The 18,503-nt window shown below is 53.5% G+C and overlaps 1 protein-coding gene across 2 annotated transcripts in view, besides 10 other annotated features; it reads left to right on the top strand.

Moving 5' to 3' along the window:
* Positions 652-1,577: an enhancer, noted in NCBI's record as "H3K27ac-H3K4me1 hESC enhancer chr1:11993557-11994482 (GRCh37/hg19 assembly coordinates)". NCBI's record gives its function as "activates a minimal SCP1, AML or CMV promoter by ChIP-STARR-seq in primed H9 embryonic stem cells {active_cell/tissue: H9 hESC(primed)}" and the evidence as "EXISTENCE:reporter gene assay evidence [ECO:0000049][PMID:30033119]".
* Positions 1,408-1,457: an enhancer, noted in NCBI's record as "active region_182". NCBI's record gives its function as "activates an Ori minimal core promoter by ATAC-STARR-seq in GM12878 lymphoblastoid cells {active_cell/tissue: GM12878}" and the evidence as "EXISTENCE:reporter gene assay evidence [ECO:0000049][PMID:35858748]".
* Positions 1,578-2,501: an enhancer, noted in NCBI's record as "H3K27ac-H3K4me1 hESC enhancer chr1:11994483-11995406 (GRCh37/hg19 assembly coordinates)". NCBI's record gives its function as "activates a minimal SCP1, AML or CMV promoter by ChIP-STARR-seq in primed H9 embryonic stem cells {active_cell/tissue: H9 hESC(primed)}" and the evidence as "EXISTENCE:reporter gene assay evidence [ECO:0000049][PMID:30033119]".
* Positions 1,678-2,147: a silencer, noted in NCBI's record as "silent region_278". NCBI's record gives its function as "represses an Ori minimal core promoter by ATAC-STARR-seq in GM12878 lymphoblastoid cells {active_cell/tissue: GM12878}" and the evidence as "EXISTENCE:reporter gene assay evidence [ECO:0000049][PMID:35858748]".
* The window catches only part of PLOD1 (procollagen-lysine,2-oxoglutarate 5-dioxygenase 1), a 40,821-nt gene continuing 24,186 nt past the window's right edge, over positions 1,869-18,503 (top strand). The window contains exons 1-5 of one of the 2 annotated variants that reach the window (NM_001316320.2): positions 1,869-2,007; positions 11,674-11,814; positions 15,128-15,219; positions 16,925-17,058; positions 17,509-17,672. In NM_001316320.2, coding sequence (NP_001303249.1) covers positions 1,932-2,007; positions 11,674-11,814; positions 15,128-15,219; positions 16,925-17,058; positions 17,509-17,672 — 607 coding nt within the window. In that variant the 5' untranslated portion in view covers positions 1,869-1,931. The remainder of the gene's footprint in view (positions 2,008-11,673; positions 11,815-15,127; positions 15,220-16,924; positions 17,059-17,508; positions 17,673-18,503) is intronic. The other variant, NM_000302.4, reaches the window with a different exon arrangement.
* Positions 5,920-7,119: an enhancer, noted in NCBI's record as "P300/CBP strongly-dependent group 1 enhancer chr1:11998825-12000024 (GRCh37/hg19 assembly coordinates)". NCBI's record gives its function as "activates an origin of replication core promoter dependent on BRD2, BRD4, P300/CBP, MED14 and CDK7 cofactors, with strong dependence on P300/CBP, by STARR-seq in HCT116 cells {active_cell/tissue: HCT116}" and the evidence as "EXISTENCE:reporter gene assay evidence [ECO:0000049][PMID:35650434]".
* Positions 6,082-6,974: an enhancer, noted in NCBI's record as "H3K27ac-H3K4me1 hESC enhancer chr1:11998987-11999879 (GRCh37/hg19 assembly coordinates)". NCBI's record gives its function as "activates a minimal SCP1, AML or CMV promoter by ChIP-STARR-seq in primed H9 embryonic stem cells {active_cell/tissue: H9 hESC(primed)}" and the evidence as "EXISTENCE:reporter gene assay evidence [ECO:0000049][PMID:30033119]".
* Positions 11,464-11,758: an enhancer, noted in NCBI's record as "tiled region #8260; HepG2 Activating non-DNase unmatched - State 18:Pol2". NCBI's record gives its function as "activates a minimal TATA promoter and a strong SV40 promoter by Sharpr-MPRA in HepG2 cells {active_cell/tissue: HepG2}" and the evidence as "EXISTENCE:reporter gene assay evidence [ECO:0000049][PMID:27701403]".
* Positions 11,464-12,262: a biological region, named in NCBI's record as "Sharpr-MPRA regulatory region 8260".
* Positions 11,586-12,262: an enhancer, noted in NCBI's record as "H3K27ac-H3K4me1 hESC enhancer chr1:12004491-12005167 (GRCh37/hg19 assembly coordinates)". NCBI's record gives its function as "activates a minimal SCP1, AML or CMV promoter by ChIP-STARR-seq in naive H9 embryonic stem cells {active_cell/tissue: H9 hESC(naive)}" and the evidence as "EXISTENCE:reporter gene assay evidence [ECO:0000049][PMID:30033119]".
* Positions 12,263-12,938: an enhancer, noted in NCBI's record as "H3K27ac-H3K4me1 hESC enhancer chr1:12005168-12005843 (GRCh37/hg19 assembly coordinates)". NCBI's record gives its function as "activates a minimal SCP1, AML or CMV promoter by ChIP-STARR-seq in naive H9 embryonic stem cells {active_cell/tissue: H9 hESC(naive)}" and the evidence as "EXISTENCE:reporter gene assay evidence [ECO:0000049][PMID:30033119]".

The following is an 18,503-nucleotide window of genomic DNA, read 5'->3' on the forward strand; positions in this document are numbered from 1 at the left end:
TCCCAAAGTACTGGGATTACAGGCATGAACCACCGCACCCAGCTCATCTGAATGCTGTTGATTTATTAATATCTTTTCCCAGCACAGACGCATAGCCTGCTCTTTGTCGTCCATTGACATTCGTGACATTCCTTCTCTCCCACCCCTTTGCCCCCTGCAGGGAACCCCCTGCCAGCCTAGGGTTACACCTGCCACCCACTCCTCTGGAGCCTAATCAGCTGGGAGAAGGCTCCTGGGTCCCTGTCTAAGGTCTTTTTTTTCTTTTTTTTTTTTTTTGAGACAGAGTTTCGCTCTGTCGCCTAGGCTGGAGTGCAGTGGTTCAATCTTGGCTCACTGCAAACTCAGTCTCCTGGGTTCAAGTGATTCTACTGCCTCAGCCTCCTGAGTAGCTGGGATTACAGGCGCGCGCCACCACGCCTGGCTAATTTTTGTATTTTAGTAGAGACAGAGTTTCACCATGTTGGTCAAGCTGGTCTTGAACTCCTGACCTTGTGATCCGCTCGCCTCAGCCTCCCAAAGTGCTGGGATTACAGGTGTGAGCCACCGTGCCCGGCCTCTGTCTGAGGTTTCTTCCAAGGAAGGAAGGATTTTTGTTCAGAGGTGGCTGCCCCTGTCTGACATCTGGTCCAGGAGCCCTTACTCTAGAGACCGTTGAGTTGTTTGTTGGGCTTTGGGTATCTGTGAAGAGGCCCTAAAAACTTTCATCGATTCGTTTACTCATTTAACAATTAATCTCTCTAGGGTGTGGTGGCTCAGCCTGTAATCCCAGCACTTTGGGAGGCCAAGGCGGGTGGATCATCTGAGGGTGGGAGTTCAAGACCAGCCTGACCAACATGGAGAAACCCCACCTCTACTAAAAATACAAAATTAGCTGGGCATGGTGGCACATGCCTGTAATCCCAGCTACTCGGGAGGCTGAGGCAGGAGAATTGCTTGAACCCGGGAGGCGGAGGTTGCCGTGACCCCAGATCTCGCCGTTGCACTCCAGCCTGGGCAACAAGAGTGAAACTCTGTCTCAAAAAAAAGGTAGAAAAATTAGCCAGGGATGGTGGCTCAGGCCTGTGATCCCACCTACTTGGGAGGCTGAGATGGGAGGATCGCTTGAGCCCGGGAGGTCGAGGCTGCAGCAAGCGGTGATCACGCCACTGCACTCCAGCCTGGGCAACTGAAAGCAACCTTGTCTCAAAAAAATGAAAAAAAAAAAACAAAAAACAAAAAAACCTCAGAAGCAAGACTTTCCTTGGCTCAGAGGTTTGCCTCCCAGGGACACAAAGGGAGATCAAGTGATTGCCTTTTGGGGAGAGTGGAGACGGGCTTCCTGCATTTCCAGTGCCTGGGTGGGCCACGTAGGGGTGTCCGTGTCTCTGAACGCATCCGTGCCCACCCTCACCCCTTGGGTTTTGGGAAGGACTAATGAAATCATGAAAACTGACTTCCTTGGGGCTTGACCTGGGGCTGCTCTAAGTGCGCTACAGGTAACGCCATTAACCCGTGCAAGACCCAATGAACAGACGCTATCATAAGCCCCACTTTTCAGGCGAGCAAACAGGGGCTCGTGGCTATCGATGCCATGGAGCCTTGGCCCAGAACCTGGGGTCTAGAAATCGTGGCCTCTCTCTCCTCTCACCGCCCTCTTTCTGGTCGGAGTGAACCCCCCAGAGAAGGGAGGGAGACGGCAGGGCCTGACGGAAGCCCCGGGAGCTGCACAGAGAGGCGGAGGGAGCTGCCCTAATAAGGAGAGGCCCGGACTTGGGCATATCTGCAGAAAAACCCTTCCCCACTAGGCAGGCGCGGGGGAGGGCGTGGAGGGGCGGGGTGGTGCCGCCCCCGGGGCGGGCCCAGTGCGTGGCAGCGGGACCTGCGGCCCCGTCGCGAAGTTTCCAGCCCTGCGAGCGCCGCCGGGTCGGCCGATCGTCCCCCATACCTCGGCCATGCGGCCCCTGCTGCTACTGGCCCTGCTGGGCTGGCTGCTGCTGGCCGAAGCGAAGGGCGACGCCAAGCCGGAGGGTGAGGGAGCGAAGGCCGGGGGCGGGAGCGCGGATCCGGGCGGGAGGGCTGGTGTCGGGCTGCCTCCCTGGGAACGACCTGAATGGGAGGCCTGGGCTGGAGAGGGAGTCTGGGTTCCGGCTCCTTGTCCACTTAATCGCTGGTGACTTGAACAAATCACTTCCCCTCTTGGGGCTGCGGTTCCTGCTTCGGGAAGGAAAGGGTGACAGCTGAGTCCCATTCAGCACAGAAAGGCTCAAATAATAATAGTTTTCATAATAATAACCGACAATGGCTATTCTGCCCAGTGCTCACTATGGGCCAGGCATCAGTTAGGCATGATTGCTACCCTGGTAAGTGTTTCCTTCTATTATCCCCGTTTTCCAGCTGGGCAAACTGAGGCTCCAGAGTTCATTCACTTGCCCAAGATCATACAACTTGTGGGCCTTGGAACCAGGATTTACCCCACCCACCCAGGTGTCTGGTTCCAGAGCCAGGAGGCCTCATGACCATGGGAATGAGGGGTCTTGAGGGGGACAGGGGAGGAATGGGGGTAGAAGGTGTGGCTCACTTTGTGGATAAGTTTGTGCTTTCATCCATGTCCCCTGTGGTCTGCTTAGCCCCTGCCAGGGTGGTCTTCCTCTCTGCAGTTTATTTTTTTTATTTTACTTAATGTATTATTTATTTAGTTATTTATTTATTTTTGAGACAGAGTCTTGCTCTGTCGCCCAGGCTGGAACGCAGTATGCGATCTCGGCTTACTGCAACCTCTGCCTCCCAGGTAAAAGCAATTCTTTTTTTTTTTTTTGAGATGGAGTCTCGCTCTGTCGCCCAGGCTGGAATGCAGTGGCACAATCTCAGCTCACTGCAACCTCCACCTCCCAGGTTCAAGTGTTTCTCCTGCCTCGGCCTCCCAAGTAGCTGGGATTACAGGCACGTGCCACCATGCCTAGCTAATTTTTGTATTTTTAGTTGAGATGGGGTTTCACCATGCTGGCCAGGCTGGTCTTGAACTTCTGACCTCTTGATCCGCTGGCCTCAGCCTCCCAAAATGTTTGGATTACAGGCGTGAGCCATCGCGCCCGGCCGGTTCAAGCGACTCCTGTACCTCAGCCTCCCAGGTAGGTGGGATCACAGACATGTGCCACCATGCCCAGCTAATTTTTGTATTTTTGGTGGAGATGGGGTTTCACCATGTTGGCCAGGCTGGTCTTGAACTCTTGACCTCAGGTGATCAGCCCACCTTGGTCTCCCAAAGTGTTGGGATTACAGGCGTGAGCCACCACACCTGGCCCTCTCTGCAGTTTATACTTGAGGAAACTGAGGCCCAGACAGGTGAAGTGACTGTCCAGGGTGGTCCAGACAGAGGTGGTTGGTCCGAGGTCAGCTGGGCTCCAGTCTAGCGCTCTTTCTACTTCCTCAAGGCAGATTGGATTGCAGTGTGTGCCCCACTGTCCTGAGTGGGTGCTTCCCTCCTCCCCAGCCCTCCCTGGCATGGGCCATCTCCAGGGCTGTCCCGAGAAGGGCATAGACTGCGGACAGTCCCAGCAAAGCCAAGCAGAAGTGGCGGTACTTTCCATGGCATTCTCCTCCTTCAGCTTACCCTCCTGGAGAACCTGAAACTGTATCACCAGAAGGATCCCGGGTTCTTTGGGTCAGGAATGGGAACCACCATTTATTTTATTTTATTTATTTAATTTTTTTTTGAGACAGTGTTTCACTGTGTCCCCCAGGCTGGAGTGCAGTAGCATGACCTTGGCTCACTGCAACCTCTGTCTCCTGGGTTCAAGCAATTCTCGTGCGTCAGCCTCCCAAGTAGCTGGGATTACAGGCCTGCACCACCACGCCCAGCTAATTTTTGTATCTTTAGAAGAGACGAGGTTTCGCCATGTTGGCCAGGCTGGTTTCAAACTCCTGACCTCAAGTGATCCTCCTGCCTCGGCCTCCCAAAGTGCTGGGATTACAGGTGGGAGCCACTGCACCCAGCCAGGAACCACCATTTCTTTTCTTTTCTTTCTTTTTTTTTTTTTGAGGCAGAGTTTCACTCCCGTTGCCCAGGCTGGAGTCCAATGGTGCGATCTCAGCTCACTGCAACCTCCGCCTCCCAGGTTCAAGCGATTCTCCTGCCTCAATCTCCCTAGTGGCTGGGATTACAGGCGGATGCCACAACGCTCAGCTAATGTTTGTATTTTTAGTAGAGACGGGGTTTCACCATGTTGGTCAGGCTGGTTTCAAACTCTTGATCTCAGGTGATCCGCCTACCTCGGCCTCCCAAAGTACCGGGATTACAGGCGTGAGCCACCGCGCCCGGCCAGGAACTGCCATTTCTTGAGTACCTCCCTCGGACCAGGTTGTGCCCAAGGCCCCACGTCTCCCAGTGGTAAAGCCGGCGGTGCTTGCTCTCTGTGAGGCTTGGTGTTCTAGCCTGCAAGACCCGGTGATACTACCTCACGCCTGGAGCTCTAACAAGAATTCCAGGGGATGAAGTTGGGGAGAGTTCAGCTCAATGCCTGGCCCATGAAAGGCCCTCGGCAAAGGGCATTTTCTCTCCCAGTCCCAGGGCTGCTGGCTTACAGCAGGGCAGTAAGACAGCTCAGAAAGTCCAGTGATGGAAACGCTGACCACCGGGCTGTGCAAAGGGCTCTCGGCCTGGGTCCCCTCACTGGCCAGGAGCCCTGTTGTGGCCTAGTTTTCTGGGCCTTTGATCCCCCTGCTTCTGCTGACATGGGGTGCCTGCATCCCAGACCATCCCAGGAGAGAAACCGCAGCTGCCCATGATGAAGCCCGGTGAGTTGAATTGAAGAGGGACCAGACTGATGACAGGGCGTTAGGCACCCTGATCCCCAGCAAGTGACAGGAGGAGGGCAGAGCAGATCCAAGGAAGCCTTCACAGAGGGTGCTGCTATGGGCGGAGGACAGGATCAGTGTGCTACTGAGGTAACCCAGGTAGAGCACCTGGTAGGTAGAAAGCACATCTGTGCTCACTGATGCACAAGAGAGCAGATCCCCAGGCCTGGGGCTAATGTCAGGCCAGTCTGAGTTGGGCCCTTTGCTTCCCTTCTCCATTTGGATCCCTCCCTGTTTTCCATTTTTTTTTTTTTTTTTAAGTTTTCATTTTCTTTTTTTTTTTTTCTTTGAGACAGAGTCTCGCTTTGTCGCCCAGGCTGGAGTGCAGTGGCACGATCTCAGCGCACTGCAGCCTCCACCTCCAGGGTTCAAGCGATTCTCCTGTCTCAGCCTCCCAAGTAGCTGGGATCACAGGCATGCACCACCATGCCTGGCTAATTTTTGTATTTTTAGTAGAGACGGGGTTTTGCAATGTTAGCCAGGCTGGTCTCAATCCTGACCTCAAGCGATTTGCCCACCTTGGCTTCCCAAAGTGCTGGGATTACAGGCCTGAGCCACCACGCCCGGCCAGGATCCCTTTGCTAAGTAAGAAATCATCAACTCCATTTTGGAGATGGGAAGACTGAGGTCCTGGTAGGTTAAACATCTGGTCTCTCATTGCCAGAGCTGGTTGGAGGTGGGGTCATTGTCTGGAACTCAGACCTACTGTTCATTTCTGCACCTCTGGACGGGAAGGGGGTGCTGTTGCCTGGAAATGCTGCCTGGGGGAGCCTGCTCAGCTCCCCCAGACCCAGCTGAGGTGTGACCTTTAGCCAGCTGGACAGGAGGACAGAGTGGGTTGCTCATCTTCCCTGCAGGTCTTGCCTGAGCATCCCACTGACTAGTGTGTGTGTTTGGTGGGGGGTACCCCAGCAGCCCCCAAAGAGGCCAGCTCTTCCCTTTCCCTGGCAGATGGATGGGAGGAGGCAGCTACTGAGGTGGATTCAGCTGGAGTAGGGAAGGGGATTTGCTGTGGAGTCTCGGGGAGTGAGATGGGTGGGGTGCTGTCAGCAGCTTGTCTGTCCCCTCACCCAAAACGCATGGCCTTGGTGCATGGAGAGAAACATGGACCGTTTTCACTTTTGGGGGCTCCCAATGAGAGGGGGGTACAGAGCACCTCACTTCAGTAGACACCCCACGTCTGAGGGAAGAGATGTTGCGCCATCCTGGGGGGGCTTCCAGAACAAGATGGGAGACACAAGAAGGCTTCAACAAAGCAATATCTTCCATCACAGGGAACTGGGAGAATAAAAGGCAACATCCAAACAGGCAGATATCCCTAGAGCCGAGGTCAGATGTCCCACAGCCCTTCCTCCCGTTTGTAGAAACTTCTAGCAGATCTCCAGCTCCTGCCTTTCCCTGTGGGCCTTGATTTGGCCGTGGTGAGAGAAGGACAGCTGCAGAGATCAGAGGCTCAGCTGGCCGTTCAGGTCATGCTGTTCCCTACTAGAGAACAGAAGGGTCCCAGGAGTCAGTCAGGCTGCACTGGATGGTGTGGGGGTGGGGCCGGGTCTGGGGAGACCTAAGTGGGCAGCTGGCCCCGGGGAGGCTAAGGTTGGCTCCCACGTGCAGGGCATCCCAAGCTCCTGCCAGACCCTGTTCCTGGCTTCAGTTCAAGCCTGGGGTGGGGATGAAGGATGGGGGAGGGGAGAGGGCGGAAGGGCTTCATTCATTCCCGCCTCCCCAGGGAGCAGACTGGGTGTGTCATGACTGTGCCTTGACTCAGGCCACACAGTGACCACCCACGCCTTGGGCTGGGACTGCTTGGGGAGGAGGGGGCATCCGGTGGCACAGTCAAACCAGGGGTGCCCAGAGGTCCCATTCTTCCAGGAGCTCATCACATACGCACACCCCAACCAAGCCCTCACCGTCAGTCTCTCCACATCATTCTTTTTCTTTTTCTTTTTTTGAGATGGAGTCTCGCTCACCTAGTCTGGAGTGAAATGGCATGATCTCAGCTCACTGCAACCTCTGCCCCCTGGGTTCAAGCAGTTCTCCTGCCTCAGTCTCCCGAGTAGCTGGGATTACAGGCGCCCACCATCATGCCCAGCTAATTTTTGTATTTTTAGTAGAGATGGGGTTTCGCCATGTTGGCCAGGCTGGTCTCGAGCTCCTGACCTCATGTGATCCACCCGCCTTGGCCTCCCAAAGTGCTAGGATTACAGGTGTGAGCCACCGCACACATCATTCTTCTCTTAAAAGTTTTTCTAAATTTTATTTTTTTGTACAGACAGGGTCTCACTGTGTTGCCCCGGCTGGTCTTGAACCCTCAGGCTCAAGTGATCATCCCCACCTTGGCCCCCCAAAGACCGGGATTACAGGTGTGAGCCACTGCACCTGGCTAATTCCTGTGGCCCAGTAGCATGACTATAGCTCACTGCAGCCTTCACCTCCTGGGCTCAAGCAATCCTCCTGCCTCAGCTTCCTGAGTAGCTGGGCCTAGAGGTGCGTGCCACCATGTCTGGCTAATTTTTTAATTTTTTGTAGAGACAGGGTCTCACTTTGTTGCACAGGTTGGTCTTGAACTCAGGGCCTCAAATAAGCCTCCTGCCTTGGTCTCCCTAAGTGTTGACATTACAGGTGTGAGCCACCCCACCCTCTGCATCATTCTTGCTCTCAGGAAGGCAGCTCCCCTTTATTCCTGACCCCCAGGGCAGCATCTACCAAGACACAGCTCCCCTTTAGGGGAGGCACCCTGTCGCCAGAACCCCCCCGCAGCTACCAAGGCAGGCACTGTGCCAAGCGCTTTACGGCATTGGCTCATTGAATCCTCATGAAAGTCTCTGGAGGGAGGTACTATCATCTGTATTATTCCCATTTTACAGATGAGAAAACTGAGGCACGGAGAGGCTAAATTCCCTGCCCAGCAATCTGTCTTTAGCACCCTCTCTGTTGTATCTCATTGATTTCTGCTGATCCTGGATCACGGGTTCATCTGGGGAAGTCATTGCTGGACTTTGGGCAGTAGGTGGGGAGGGCTGAGAGCTCTGGGTGCCAGGCCTTGGCCTTAGCCCAAGGCAGCTGGCTGGACCAGACAGAAAGCAGATGGGAGGGGCCTTGGTACTCGAAAATGAATCTTCCACATCCATGCCTTAAGGGTTTCTCTGGCCTGGCCTAACAGTGAGCTGGGAAAAGACCTCACCACGTGACTGCAGTTGGGTGCTTGTGCTGCAGAGGCCAGAGAGAAGGCACTGGAAGCGCTGGCTTTTGTCTGCAGCCAGGAGTCTGGCATCTTAGGATGTTGGGCTCTTGGACAGGGAAATGAAGACAAGAGCATGGGCATTTAGAATTCCAACTCATTCCCATTTCACCTAAAGGTTCTGTGACTTTGGGTCAGGTATTTAGCCTCTCTGTGCCTCGGTTTCCTCACCCGAAGAAGCAGTGATAAAAATATCACCTTCCTCGTAGAGTGTTGACCGTGAAATAAGATAATGAATGTAACATGCCTCATACAGCACACGGTATCTCACCGGGTTCAGTGGTGGTAGCTGTTCCTAAAAGTACTTTGTTTGTTTGTTTTGTTTTTTGTTTTTTGTTTTTGAGAGGGAGACTTGCTCTGTCACCCAGGCTAGAGTGCAGTGGCACCACAAAAGTACAAAAGTACCTTCCATGTTGCTGCTTTTTTTTTTGAGACAGAGTTTCACTCTGTCACCCGGGCTGGGGTGCAGTGGCACAATCTTGGCTCACTGCAACCTCTGCCTCCTGGTTTCAAGTGATTCTCCTGCCTTAGTCTCCTAAGTAGCTGGGATTATTATTATTATTATTATTATTATTTTTGAGATGGAGTTTCACTTTTGTTGCCCAGGCTAGAGTGCAATGGCACAATCTGGGCTCATTGCAACCTCTGCCTCCTGGGTCAAGCAATTCTCCTATCTCAGCCTCCTGAATAGCAGGGATTATAGGCGCCTGCCACCATGCCCAGCTAAATTTTTTTTGTATTTTTAGTAGAGACGGGGTTTCATCACATTGGTTAGGCTGGTCTCAAACTCCTGACCTCAGGTGATCCGCCCGCCTAGGCCTCTCAAAGTGCTAGGATAACAGGCGTGAGCCACCGCGCCCGGACTAGTAGCTGGGATTACATGCACCACCGTATAACTTGCAGTATGTAATATGCACCACTGCCTGGCTAATTTTTGTATTTTTAGTAGAGACGGGGTTTTGCCATGTTGGCCAGGTGGGACTTGAATTCCTGACCTCAGGTGATCTGTCCACCTTGGCCTCCCAAAGTGCTGGGATTACAGGTGTGTGAGCCACTGTGCCCGGCCTTTTTTTTTTTTTTTGAGACAGAGTTTCACCCTGTTGCCCAGGCTGGAGTACAGTGGCACAACCCTGGCTCACTGCAACCTCTGCCTCCTGGGTTCAAGCAATTCTCGTGCCTCAGCCTTCTGAGTAGCTGGGACTACAGGCTCTTGCCACCACGTCTAGCTAATTTTTGTATTTTTAGTAGAGACGGGGTTTCACCATGTTGGCCAGGCTGGTCTCAAATTTCTGATCTCAACTGATCTGCCTGCCTCAGCTTCCCCTCACTTCCCAAAGTGCTGGGATTACAGGTGTGAGCCACTGTGTCAGGCCTCACGTAGCTGCTTAAGGCCAGAATGTACAGTGTGTCTTGGTCATGCCCAGTCCCAGCCATGGTGAGGGAGAGGGAGACCAAGGAAATAAAGATGTGGCCCTGGCCTGGCAGAGGGAGAAGGAGCAGGTTTGTACCAATACGTCAACTACTGGGCAAACCAAGACTGCACGTGCAAAGGAGTGACCACATGGGATGAGATTAAGGAGGGCTTCCTGGAGGAGGTAGACTGGAGGCCTCTTTAGGGGAAGGAATGTGTGTTGCAGACAGGTCAAGGGAATGGGGTGCAGGCTGGGTTTACTGAGGCTGTTTCCTTGGGGATGTTAGGAGGTCATGCCAGGGTCTCTTGTTGGAGGGCTTGCCTTCAGTTCTCTTGTTGTGAACCGCCTCCCAGACCCCTGCATTGCAGCCCAGTGTCAGCGGACCAAGGGGATGGATTGGACCAGTGATTCCCAAATGTGGCTGACATCAGAAATCACCTGGGAAAGGTAGGAAAAATCCAGACTCCTGGGCCCACCTCAGACCCCTAGCCCTGGGGCCTAGGAGCCTGGATTCCACAACCTCTCTTGTGATGCTGATGTGTGGGCAGGTTTGGGACCCTCTGAACTGGACAATCACGTGGGATCCTCAACCAGAGAGGCAGGCTCTGCGTGGCCCAAGGAACCCGGGAGTTTTTTTTGTTTGTTTGGTTTTTTGTTTTTTGTTTTTGTTTTTGAGATGGAGACTTGCTCTGTCACCCAGGCTAGAGTGCAGTGGCATTATCTCGGCTCACTGCAATCTCTGCCCCCTGGGTTCAAGCAGTTCTCTGCCTCCACCTCCCGAGTAGCTGGGATTACAGGCTCCCGCCCACCACCATGCCTAGCTAATTTTTGTATTTTTAGTAAAGATGGGGTTTCACCATGTTGGCCAGGCTGGTCTTGAACTCCTGATCTCATGATCCACCTGCCTTGGCCTCCCAAAGTGCTAGGATTATAGGCATGAGCCACCGTGCCCGGCTTTTTTTTTCTTTCTTTTTTTTTTTTTGAGACAGAGTTTTGTTCTTGTCGCCCAGGCCGGACTGCAATGGCACAGTCTCTGCTCACTGCAGCCGCCACCTCCCGGGTTCAAGCGATTCTCTTGCCTGAGCCTCACGAGTAGTTGGGATTACAGGCATGTGCCACCACGCCCGGCTAATTTTTGTATTCTTAGTAGAGACAGGGTTTCACCATGTTGACCAGGCTGCTCTCAAACTCCTGACCTCAGGTGATCCACCTGCCTCAGCCTCTCAAAGTGCTGCGATTACAGGCGTGAGTCACCACGCCTGGCCACGGAACCTGGGGGTTAAGGTCCCAGTGTGGGCTCTCAGCAGCACTGTTTCCCTGGAAAACAGGGAATAGACAGGTTATAGGGAGGAAAGTGGGCATGTGGGGAGGGCACAGCTAGACAGCTCCCTTACATAGATAGAGAGACAGGGCCCTCTCAACAGATGGCCTGGCCACCGTCCCTGGCTGGGCAGTGCATGCATTTAGGTTAAGAGAGGAGACTCTGGGTTCAGGCTTGTGTCCAAGTCCTGGTGCTGCTGCTTCCTAGCTCCCTTGGGCACATTACTCGCCAGCTGTACCCTTGGTTTCCTAACTGGAAAGTCGGGGGTTAGTATGTGTGAAGTGCTTGGAACAGCATTGGCTGGGCACGGTGGCTCATGCCTGTAATCCAGCACTTTGGGAAGCTGAGGCAGGCAGATCACCTGAGGTCATGAGTTTGCGACCAGCCTGGCCAACATGGTGAAACCCCATCTCTACTAAAAATACAAAAAATTAGCTGGGCGTGGTGGCCGGCACCTGTAATCCCAACTATTTAGGAGGCTGAGGCATGAGAATCGCTTGAACCCAGGAGATAGAGGTTGTAGTGAGACAAGATCTAGCCACTGCACTCCAGCCTGGGTGACAGAGCGAGACTCTGTCTCAAAAAAAAAAAATTGTGTCTGGCACACAGAAAATGCTCGATGAAGGTAAGCCATTATTGTTGCTGTTATTGAGAAGCAGGAACCTGAGAAAGGGGCTTTGAGCCACGCCACCCCATCCCCTTCCCCCACCCCTGCTGCTGGAGTTCAAGAGCCTGTTCCATCAAGAATCCTGAATTGCGCATGCACGCGTACACACACACACACACACACACACACACACACTCACTCACATGCTCTCACGCTGGCTTTTTCCATCCATGAAATGTGACACTCTTCCTGTCCCCAGCAGCCCCCTGTTGCCAAGAGGGCCTCAGAGCTGGTGGCTCTGGTTCTCTTCACCTGGGGAGAGACTTCACCGTCCTGGCAGGAGCTCGGGGGAGCCCTTCCCCAAGTGTGAGCAGCATCCCTCGTTTCTGGATCCCAGGTTCAGGTAGTGAGGCCTCTCCTTCCCACACCTGCCTGGTGTATCCACCCCCTCCTCCCCCAGCACCGCAGCTAATCCCTGCCAATCCCTGCTGGGCCGCCTGGCGCCAGCCCTCTGCCCTGGGGCCAGCTCCCTGCCCCGGCTACCCCTGCCCCAGCTACCCCTGCCCCGCCAGCTCTGGCAAGCCAGGCCCCTTTGTTCCTACAGTCTAGGTTCCTCCTGACTTCCTGAGGTGGTGGGAGGGGAGGGCCTTACCTGCCTGCTGTCAATCTGGCCACCAGGTGAGAAGTGTAAGCTGCAGACCCTCAGGGAGCTAAGACTCACCCAGGGAAACAATGATGAGCACTGCAGTGTGGGTCTTGCCTCTGTGGCTTGGAGGCCAGAGAGGGCAGGAGAAATCCGAGAAGGCTTCATAGAGGTGGAAGGGACGTCATTGTCACTGGCCCTGGGACCTGGAGGAAGGTTAGAGAAAGGAGACACAGGCCGGGTGTGGTGGCTCACGCCTGTAATCCCAGCACTTTGGGAGGCCAAGGTGCGCAGATTGGTTGAGGCTGGGAGTTCCAGACCAGCCTGAGTAACATGGTGAAACCTCATCTCCACTAAAAAATTTAGCTGGGCTTGGTGGGGTGCACCTGCAGTCCCTCCCAGCTACCTGGGAGGCTAAGGTGGGAGGATCACCTGAGTGCAGGAAGTCAAGGTTGCAGTGAGCCATGAGCCATGATTGTGCCTCTGCACTCCAGCCTGGGCAACGGGAGTGAGATTGGGTCTCAAAAAAAAAAACCCAAAAAACAAAAACAAGAAAGGGGACACAGAGGGAGCCATGGTCCCTTGCATGGGAGGTCCCTTGCATGGGAGGTCCCTTGCATGGTCCCTTGCATGATCCCTTGCATGGGAGGAACCCAGCAAGGAGAGACCCCCTCCAGTTGGAGGAGGGCCTGCATGATGGAGAGGGATGAGTATATCACCCGCCAGATCAGAGAGGGCCTTGAATGCCAGGCCAAGGCATTTGCTTCTCATTAATCAGCACCAGTAATACCTCTTTATTTTTATTTATTTTTATTTTTATTTTTGAGGTGGAGTCTTGCTCTGTCACCCAGGCTGGAGTGCAGTGGTGCGATCTTGGCTCACTGCAACCTCTACCTTCTGGGTTCAAGCAATTCTCCTGTCTCAGCCTCCCAAGTAGCTAGGACTACAGGCACATGCCACCACGCCCAGCTAATTTTTGTATTTTTAGTAGAGACGGGGTTTCACCATGTTGGCCAGGCTGTTCTCGAACTCCTGATCTCAAGTGATCTGCCTGCCTCAGCCTCCCAAAGTGCTGGGATTACCGGTGTGAGCCACTGTGACCAGCCTTCAGTAATACCTCTTCATGTGTGCCGAGCATCCCAATAAAGATTTTACATGCCTGATCTCATTTAATTACTCCAGCAGCCCTGAGAAGTAGGTACTATTATTATCCCTGCTTTCCAAGGGGGAAACTGAGTCTCAGAAGGGCTAGGGACTTGCCCCAGGTCACATGGCTATTAAGGAGCAGAGCTAGGATTCTAACCAGGCAGGCTAGCTCCAGACTCCTCGCTTCTCAGAGAACACAGCTTCAAAGTGTGCTCTGAGAGGGGCTTCCCCAGGGCTCCCTGAGATGCTCTCTGGGGAGTTATTTCCAGAAGATTCTGTTGCAGAGGCAGGCCACACTACAGAGCCTGGGAGAGGTTCCTTGTTAAAATTGTAGGAATGGCTGCCCTGGCCAAAGGTCAGCAGTGGACCAGTAGATTTCAAGTCAGTTTCCACTCTGGGCCGACTCATTGGTTCTAAGAGCCTCAAGCATGGTGTTGGGAGAATCTAGAGCCATGTGATACTCAGCAAGAAAGACTGTGAGATAGATTAGCAATGTCTGTCCTGGGTTAGGTATGGAGAGCAGGGACCTGTGAGCCATGTATTTGCTGTCCCTGGGCTAATTGTCTATCATTGGCCAGAGAGATCTTCCTGGTGGTCAGCATTCAGAGTAATCTTCCTTCCACACCCTCTAAAGCCAGAAACTCAGTCCTATAATGTAGGGTGTAGACACCTCTCCTGTCTACAGCACATGCTTCATGACATGTTGGTCAGTGTATTTGTCTGTTTTATGTTGCTGTAAAGAAGTACCCGTGGCTGGGTGATTTCTCAAGAGGTTTATTTGGCTCACAGTTCTGCAGGCTGTACAAGCATACCACCAGCATCTGTTCTGCTTCCAGTGAGGCCTCAGGAAGCTTTGACTCATGGCAGGCATGTCACATGGTGAGAGCTGGAGCAAGAGAGAGGAGGAAGTGCAAGGCTCTTTTAAACAACCAGCTCTCTGCTGGGCACGGTGGCTCATGCCTGTAATCCTGGCACTTTGGGAGGCCAAGGCGTGTGGATCATTTGCGGTCAGGAGTTTGAGACCAGCCTGGCCAACATGATGAAACCCCGCCTCTATTAAAAATACAAAAATTAGCTGGGCATGGTGGCGAGTGCCTGTAGTCCCAGCTACTCAGGAGGCGGAGGTTGCAGTGAGTTGAGATTGTGCCACTGCACTCCAGCTTCGGTGACAGAGTGAGATGCTGTCTCAAAAAAAAAAAAACAAAAACAAACAAACAAACAAAAAAAACAACCCAGCTCTCTTGGTCGGGCATGATGACTCATGCTTGTAATCCCAGCACTTTCGGAGGCTGAAGCAGATCACCAGAGGTCAGCTGTTCAAGACCAGCCTGGCCAACGTGGCAAAGCCCCGTGTCTACTAAAAACATAAAAATTAGCCAGGTGTGGTGGCACCCGCCTGTAGTCCCAGCTACTTGGGAGGCTGAGGCAGGAGAATAGCTTGAACCCAGGAGGTGGAGGTTGCAGTGAGCTGAGATCATGCCACTGCACTCCAGCCTGGGTGACAGAGTGAGACTCTGTCTCAAAAAAATAAAAACCAACCAGCTCTCACATGAACTCAGAGCAAGAACTCACTCATTACCAAGGAGATGGCACCAAGCCATTCATGAGGGATCTACCTCTGTGACCCAAACACCTCCCACTGGGCCCCACCTCCAACAGTGGGGATCACATTTCAATGTGCAATTTGGAGGGGACAAATATCCAACTATATCGGTCAGTTACTGGGTGGAGGGAGCCCTGGAGGAGACTCAGGAGACCTGGGTTATTTCCTGCTCTATCATCCTTTCTTCCCTGGGCCCTGTTCTGTAATGGGTTGACATGAAGACACTTCCTGCCAGAATTTGACAGGTCACTGGGAACAAAGACCTCCTCCCTGTCACCTCCCTCATCCTCCATTCCCATTCACCATACCCTCCTCTGTCTGCAGACAACCTTTTAGTCCTCACGGTGGCCACTAAGGAGACCGAGGGATTCCGTCGCTTCAAGCGCTCAGCTCAGTTCTTCAACTACAAGATCCAGGTAAGGGGTTTCCTGGGTGAGGCAGAGACAGTGAGGGGTGGCAGGAGGATCTAGGAGCTAGTGTCCTTTCCAAACTACCACGTCTCTTAAGATAGACTTGGGGCCACAGGGGAGGCTTCTGGAAGCCTGAAGGATGAAAATGAGTTAGTCGGGAATGGGAAGACACAGCAGAGGACACAGCATGAGTCTAGGGGGTGATGGAGAGGGAAAGAGTTGGCTAAAGAAATGCTCAGATGTTAGTGTGCAGGAGCCTCAGCTGAGAGGCTAGTTTAGAGGACAGGGCCTCGGGATCAGCATTTCCACAAGTACCACCCCGTAATTTGGGGATGGGCACGGTCTAGACATCTTCCCGGTATTATAAACACTGCTCTAAAGAAACATGAGTGGTCCCGCACAGGGGCTCACGCCTGTATTCCCAGCACTTTGGGAGTCTGATGATCCACTGAGGTCAGGAGTTCGAGACCAGCCTGGCCAACATGGCGAAACCCCATCTCTACTAAAAATATAAAAAAATTAGCTGGGCATGATGGCACGCACCTGTAATCCCAGCTGCTTAGGAGGCTGAGGCGGGAGAATCACTTGAACCTGGGAGGCGGAGGTTGCAGTGAGCCGAGGTGGCGTCACTGCACTCCAGCCTGGGCAATAGAGTGAAACTCTGTCTCAAAAAAAAAAAAGAAAATAAAAGAAAAAAGAAACATGAGCTAATGCCCGATCGACCACTGGCATGGGCTTGGTGTCATCTGTGTGCAGTCCATGGGGCTGAGCCCTGCAGGGAGACGAGTATCCTGAGTGCTTCCTTATGTCAGGCACAAGGTTGGGCACTGGCAATAGGGTGATGGACAATACAGAACATGTCATTGCTTACACAGAGCTTGCAATCTAGTGGCATTAAGTCAGCAAGCAAGTGTATCAGCTCACATGAATGAGGGTTGCAGCAGAGGGTTGCTTCAGGCATGGCTGGATCCAGGGATTCAAGCAGCAAAGTGAGGGCCTTGTGTTTCCATCTCTAGGCCCTGTTTGTTTTAATCGTGGTGGCAAGATGACCACCAGCCACAGATTCATGTGCCCCAGTTTCTCAACTTCAGCAGAAGGAGACAGGCTTTCCTTTTTAGGAAAGGCCTGCAGACTGTTCTGTTTTTCACAGAACAGTCCCAGGGAAGGCGCTGATAGGCCATGCTGGGGTCACATGCTCAAATCTCCGGATGTGGGAGGGGCAGGAAGGGTGGGACATTCTGATTGGACAGGCATGGTCACATGACCACCAGGAACCGGCTAATCCTCATACAGGTGGAGAATGGTTTCCTTACAGGGGAGGGTCAGAGTTGCTGGACCCACAGGAGCAAAAAAATTATTTCTTTTTCTCTTTTTTTGAGACGGAGTGTTGCTCTGTCTCCCAGGCTGAAGTGCAATGGAGCGATTTCGGCTCACTGGAACCCCCACCTCCCGGGTTCAAGCAATTCTCCTACTTTAGCCTCCCGAGTAGCTGGAATTAGAGGCATGTGCCACCACACGCCGCTAATTTTTGTGTTTTTAGTAGAGACAGGGTTTCGCCATGTTGGCCAGTCTGGTCTTGAATTCCTGACCTCAGGTGGTCCACACGTCTCGGCCTCCCAAAGTGCTGGGATTACCAGCATGAGCCACCACGGCCAGCCCTGGAAAAATATTTCTTTACCAAAAGCCCGTGTTAAGGGGTGTTTCTCTCCAGGCGCTTGGCCTAGGGGAGGACTGGAATGTGGAGAAGGGGACGTCGGCAGGTGGAGGGCAGAAGGTCCGGCTGCTGAAGAAAGCTCTGGAGAAGCACGCAGACAAGGAGGATCTGGTCATTCTCTTCGCAGACAGGTAGGTGGGTCAGGGCTTCCTAGCCTGGGCCCCTCCGCGGAAGATAGAAGAATATTCTAAAATGAGGCCCTCCCAGAACATCGGGGAAGAAGGGGGACCACTCTAGCTAAGGTTGCCTAGTTTTAGGGTGTCCATTCCCGGTCTTAGTAAAGCCCATTCCCAGGCTTGGTGAAAAGATAAAGAGGAGGTGACCCATGAGTGTGATGGGCCCCCTTTAAGTAAGAGAAGAATGACATGTTGTGGGGACCATCTCTTTGCCCAGGGTGCGGGTGGGAACATGGCAGGCAGGGCTGCAGACAGAGACAGGTCCATTTCCCAGATGGTGGCCCAGGCTGGCGTGGGCAGAGGGCCATTTGTGGAGCACTTGATCCCTGGTCCCTCCTGTCTGTGCCCTCACTGGGCCCCTGCTCACCCTTGCCCTGCTCCGTCTTCTCGCTGCTCTGGCCACAGCTATGACGTGCTGTTTGCATCGGGGCCCCGGGAGCTCCTGAAGAAGTTCCGGCAGGCCAGGAGCCAGGTGGTCTTCTCTGCTGAGGAGCTCATCTACCCAGACCGCAGGCTGGAGACCAAGTATCCGGTGGTGTCCGATGGCAAGAGGTTCCTGGGCTCTGGAGGTGAGAGGCCTGGGTGCAGGGCGCTTGGCCCAGCAGAGGGGTCCATCTACTGCCTTTGTGGGGACCCCCCTTGTTTGACGTGCAATCTGGGTGTCTCACAGGTCTCCAGTGCAGAATGTCCTGAATAGAGCTCCTGACTTTTCAACCCCAAATGTGCTCCCCTGCAGTTCTGATCTCATTCAACAGACACGCAGCCCCATAGACAGAACCCAGGAGTCACTCCTGACTCCTCCCTTGCCCTCCTCCACCTACGTCCAATGCCAGTCACCTGTCTACTACTTTTTAAATTTTGAGACGGCATCTCAGTCTGTTGCCCAGGCTGGAGTGCAGTGGTGGGATCTCAGCTCACTGCAGCCTCCGCCTCTTGGGCTCAAGCAATCCTCCTGCCTCAGCCATCCAAGTCACTGGGATTACAGGCATGCACCACTATGCCCGGCTAATTTTTGTATATTTAGTAGAGATGGGGTATCGCCATGTTGGCCAGGTGGGTCTCGAACTCCTGGCCTTAAGTGATCCACCTGCCTCGGCCTCCCAAAGTGCTGGGATTATAGGCATGAGTCACCACACCTGGCCACCTGCCTCCTACTTCCTAAAGATCTCTGGAATCTGCTCTCTCTGGCCCACAGTTCACTGCCACCATTCTCACTGGGCTCCTGGCCGTTGGTAGGAGCCTCCTTACTGCTCTGCCATTCCCTACCCTCATGCCCTTCCAGGCCATTCTCCATCCAGCAGCCAGAGGTGTCTTTAAACGATGCAAATCCAAGGCCAGGCGCGGTGGCTCACGCCTGTAATGTCAGCACTTTGGGAAGCCGAGGTGGGAGGATCACTTGA

This window comes from Homo sapiens, chromosome 1, assembly GCF_000001405.40.
Source record: "Homo sapiens chromosome 1, GRCh38.p14 Primary Assembly".
In the NCBI taxonomy this organism is placed as follows: Eukaryota; Metazoa; Chordata; class Mammalia; order Primates; family Hominidae; genus Homo; species Homo sapiens.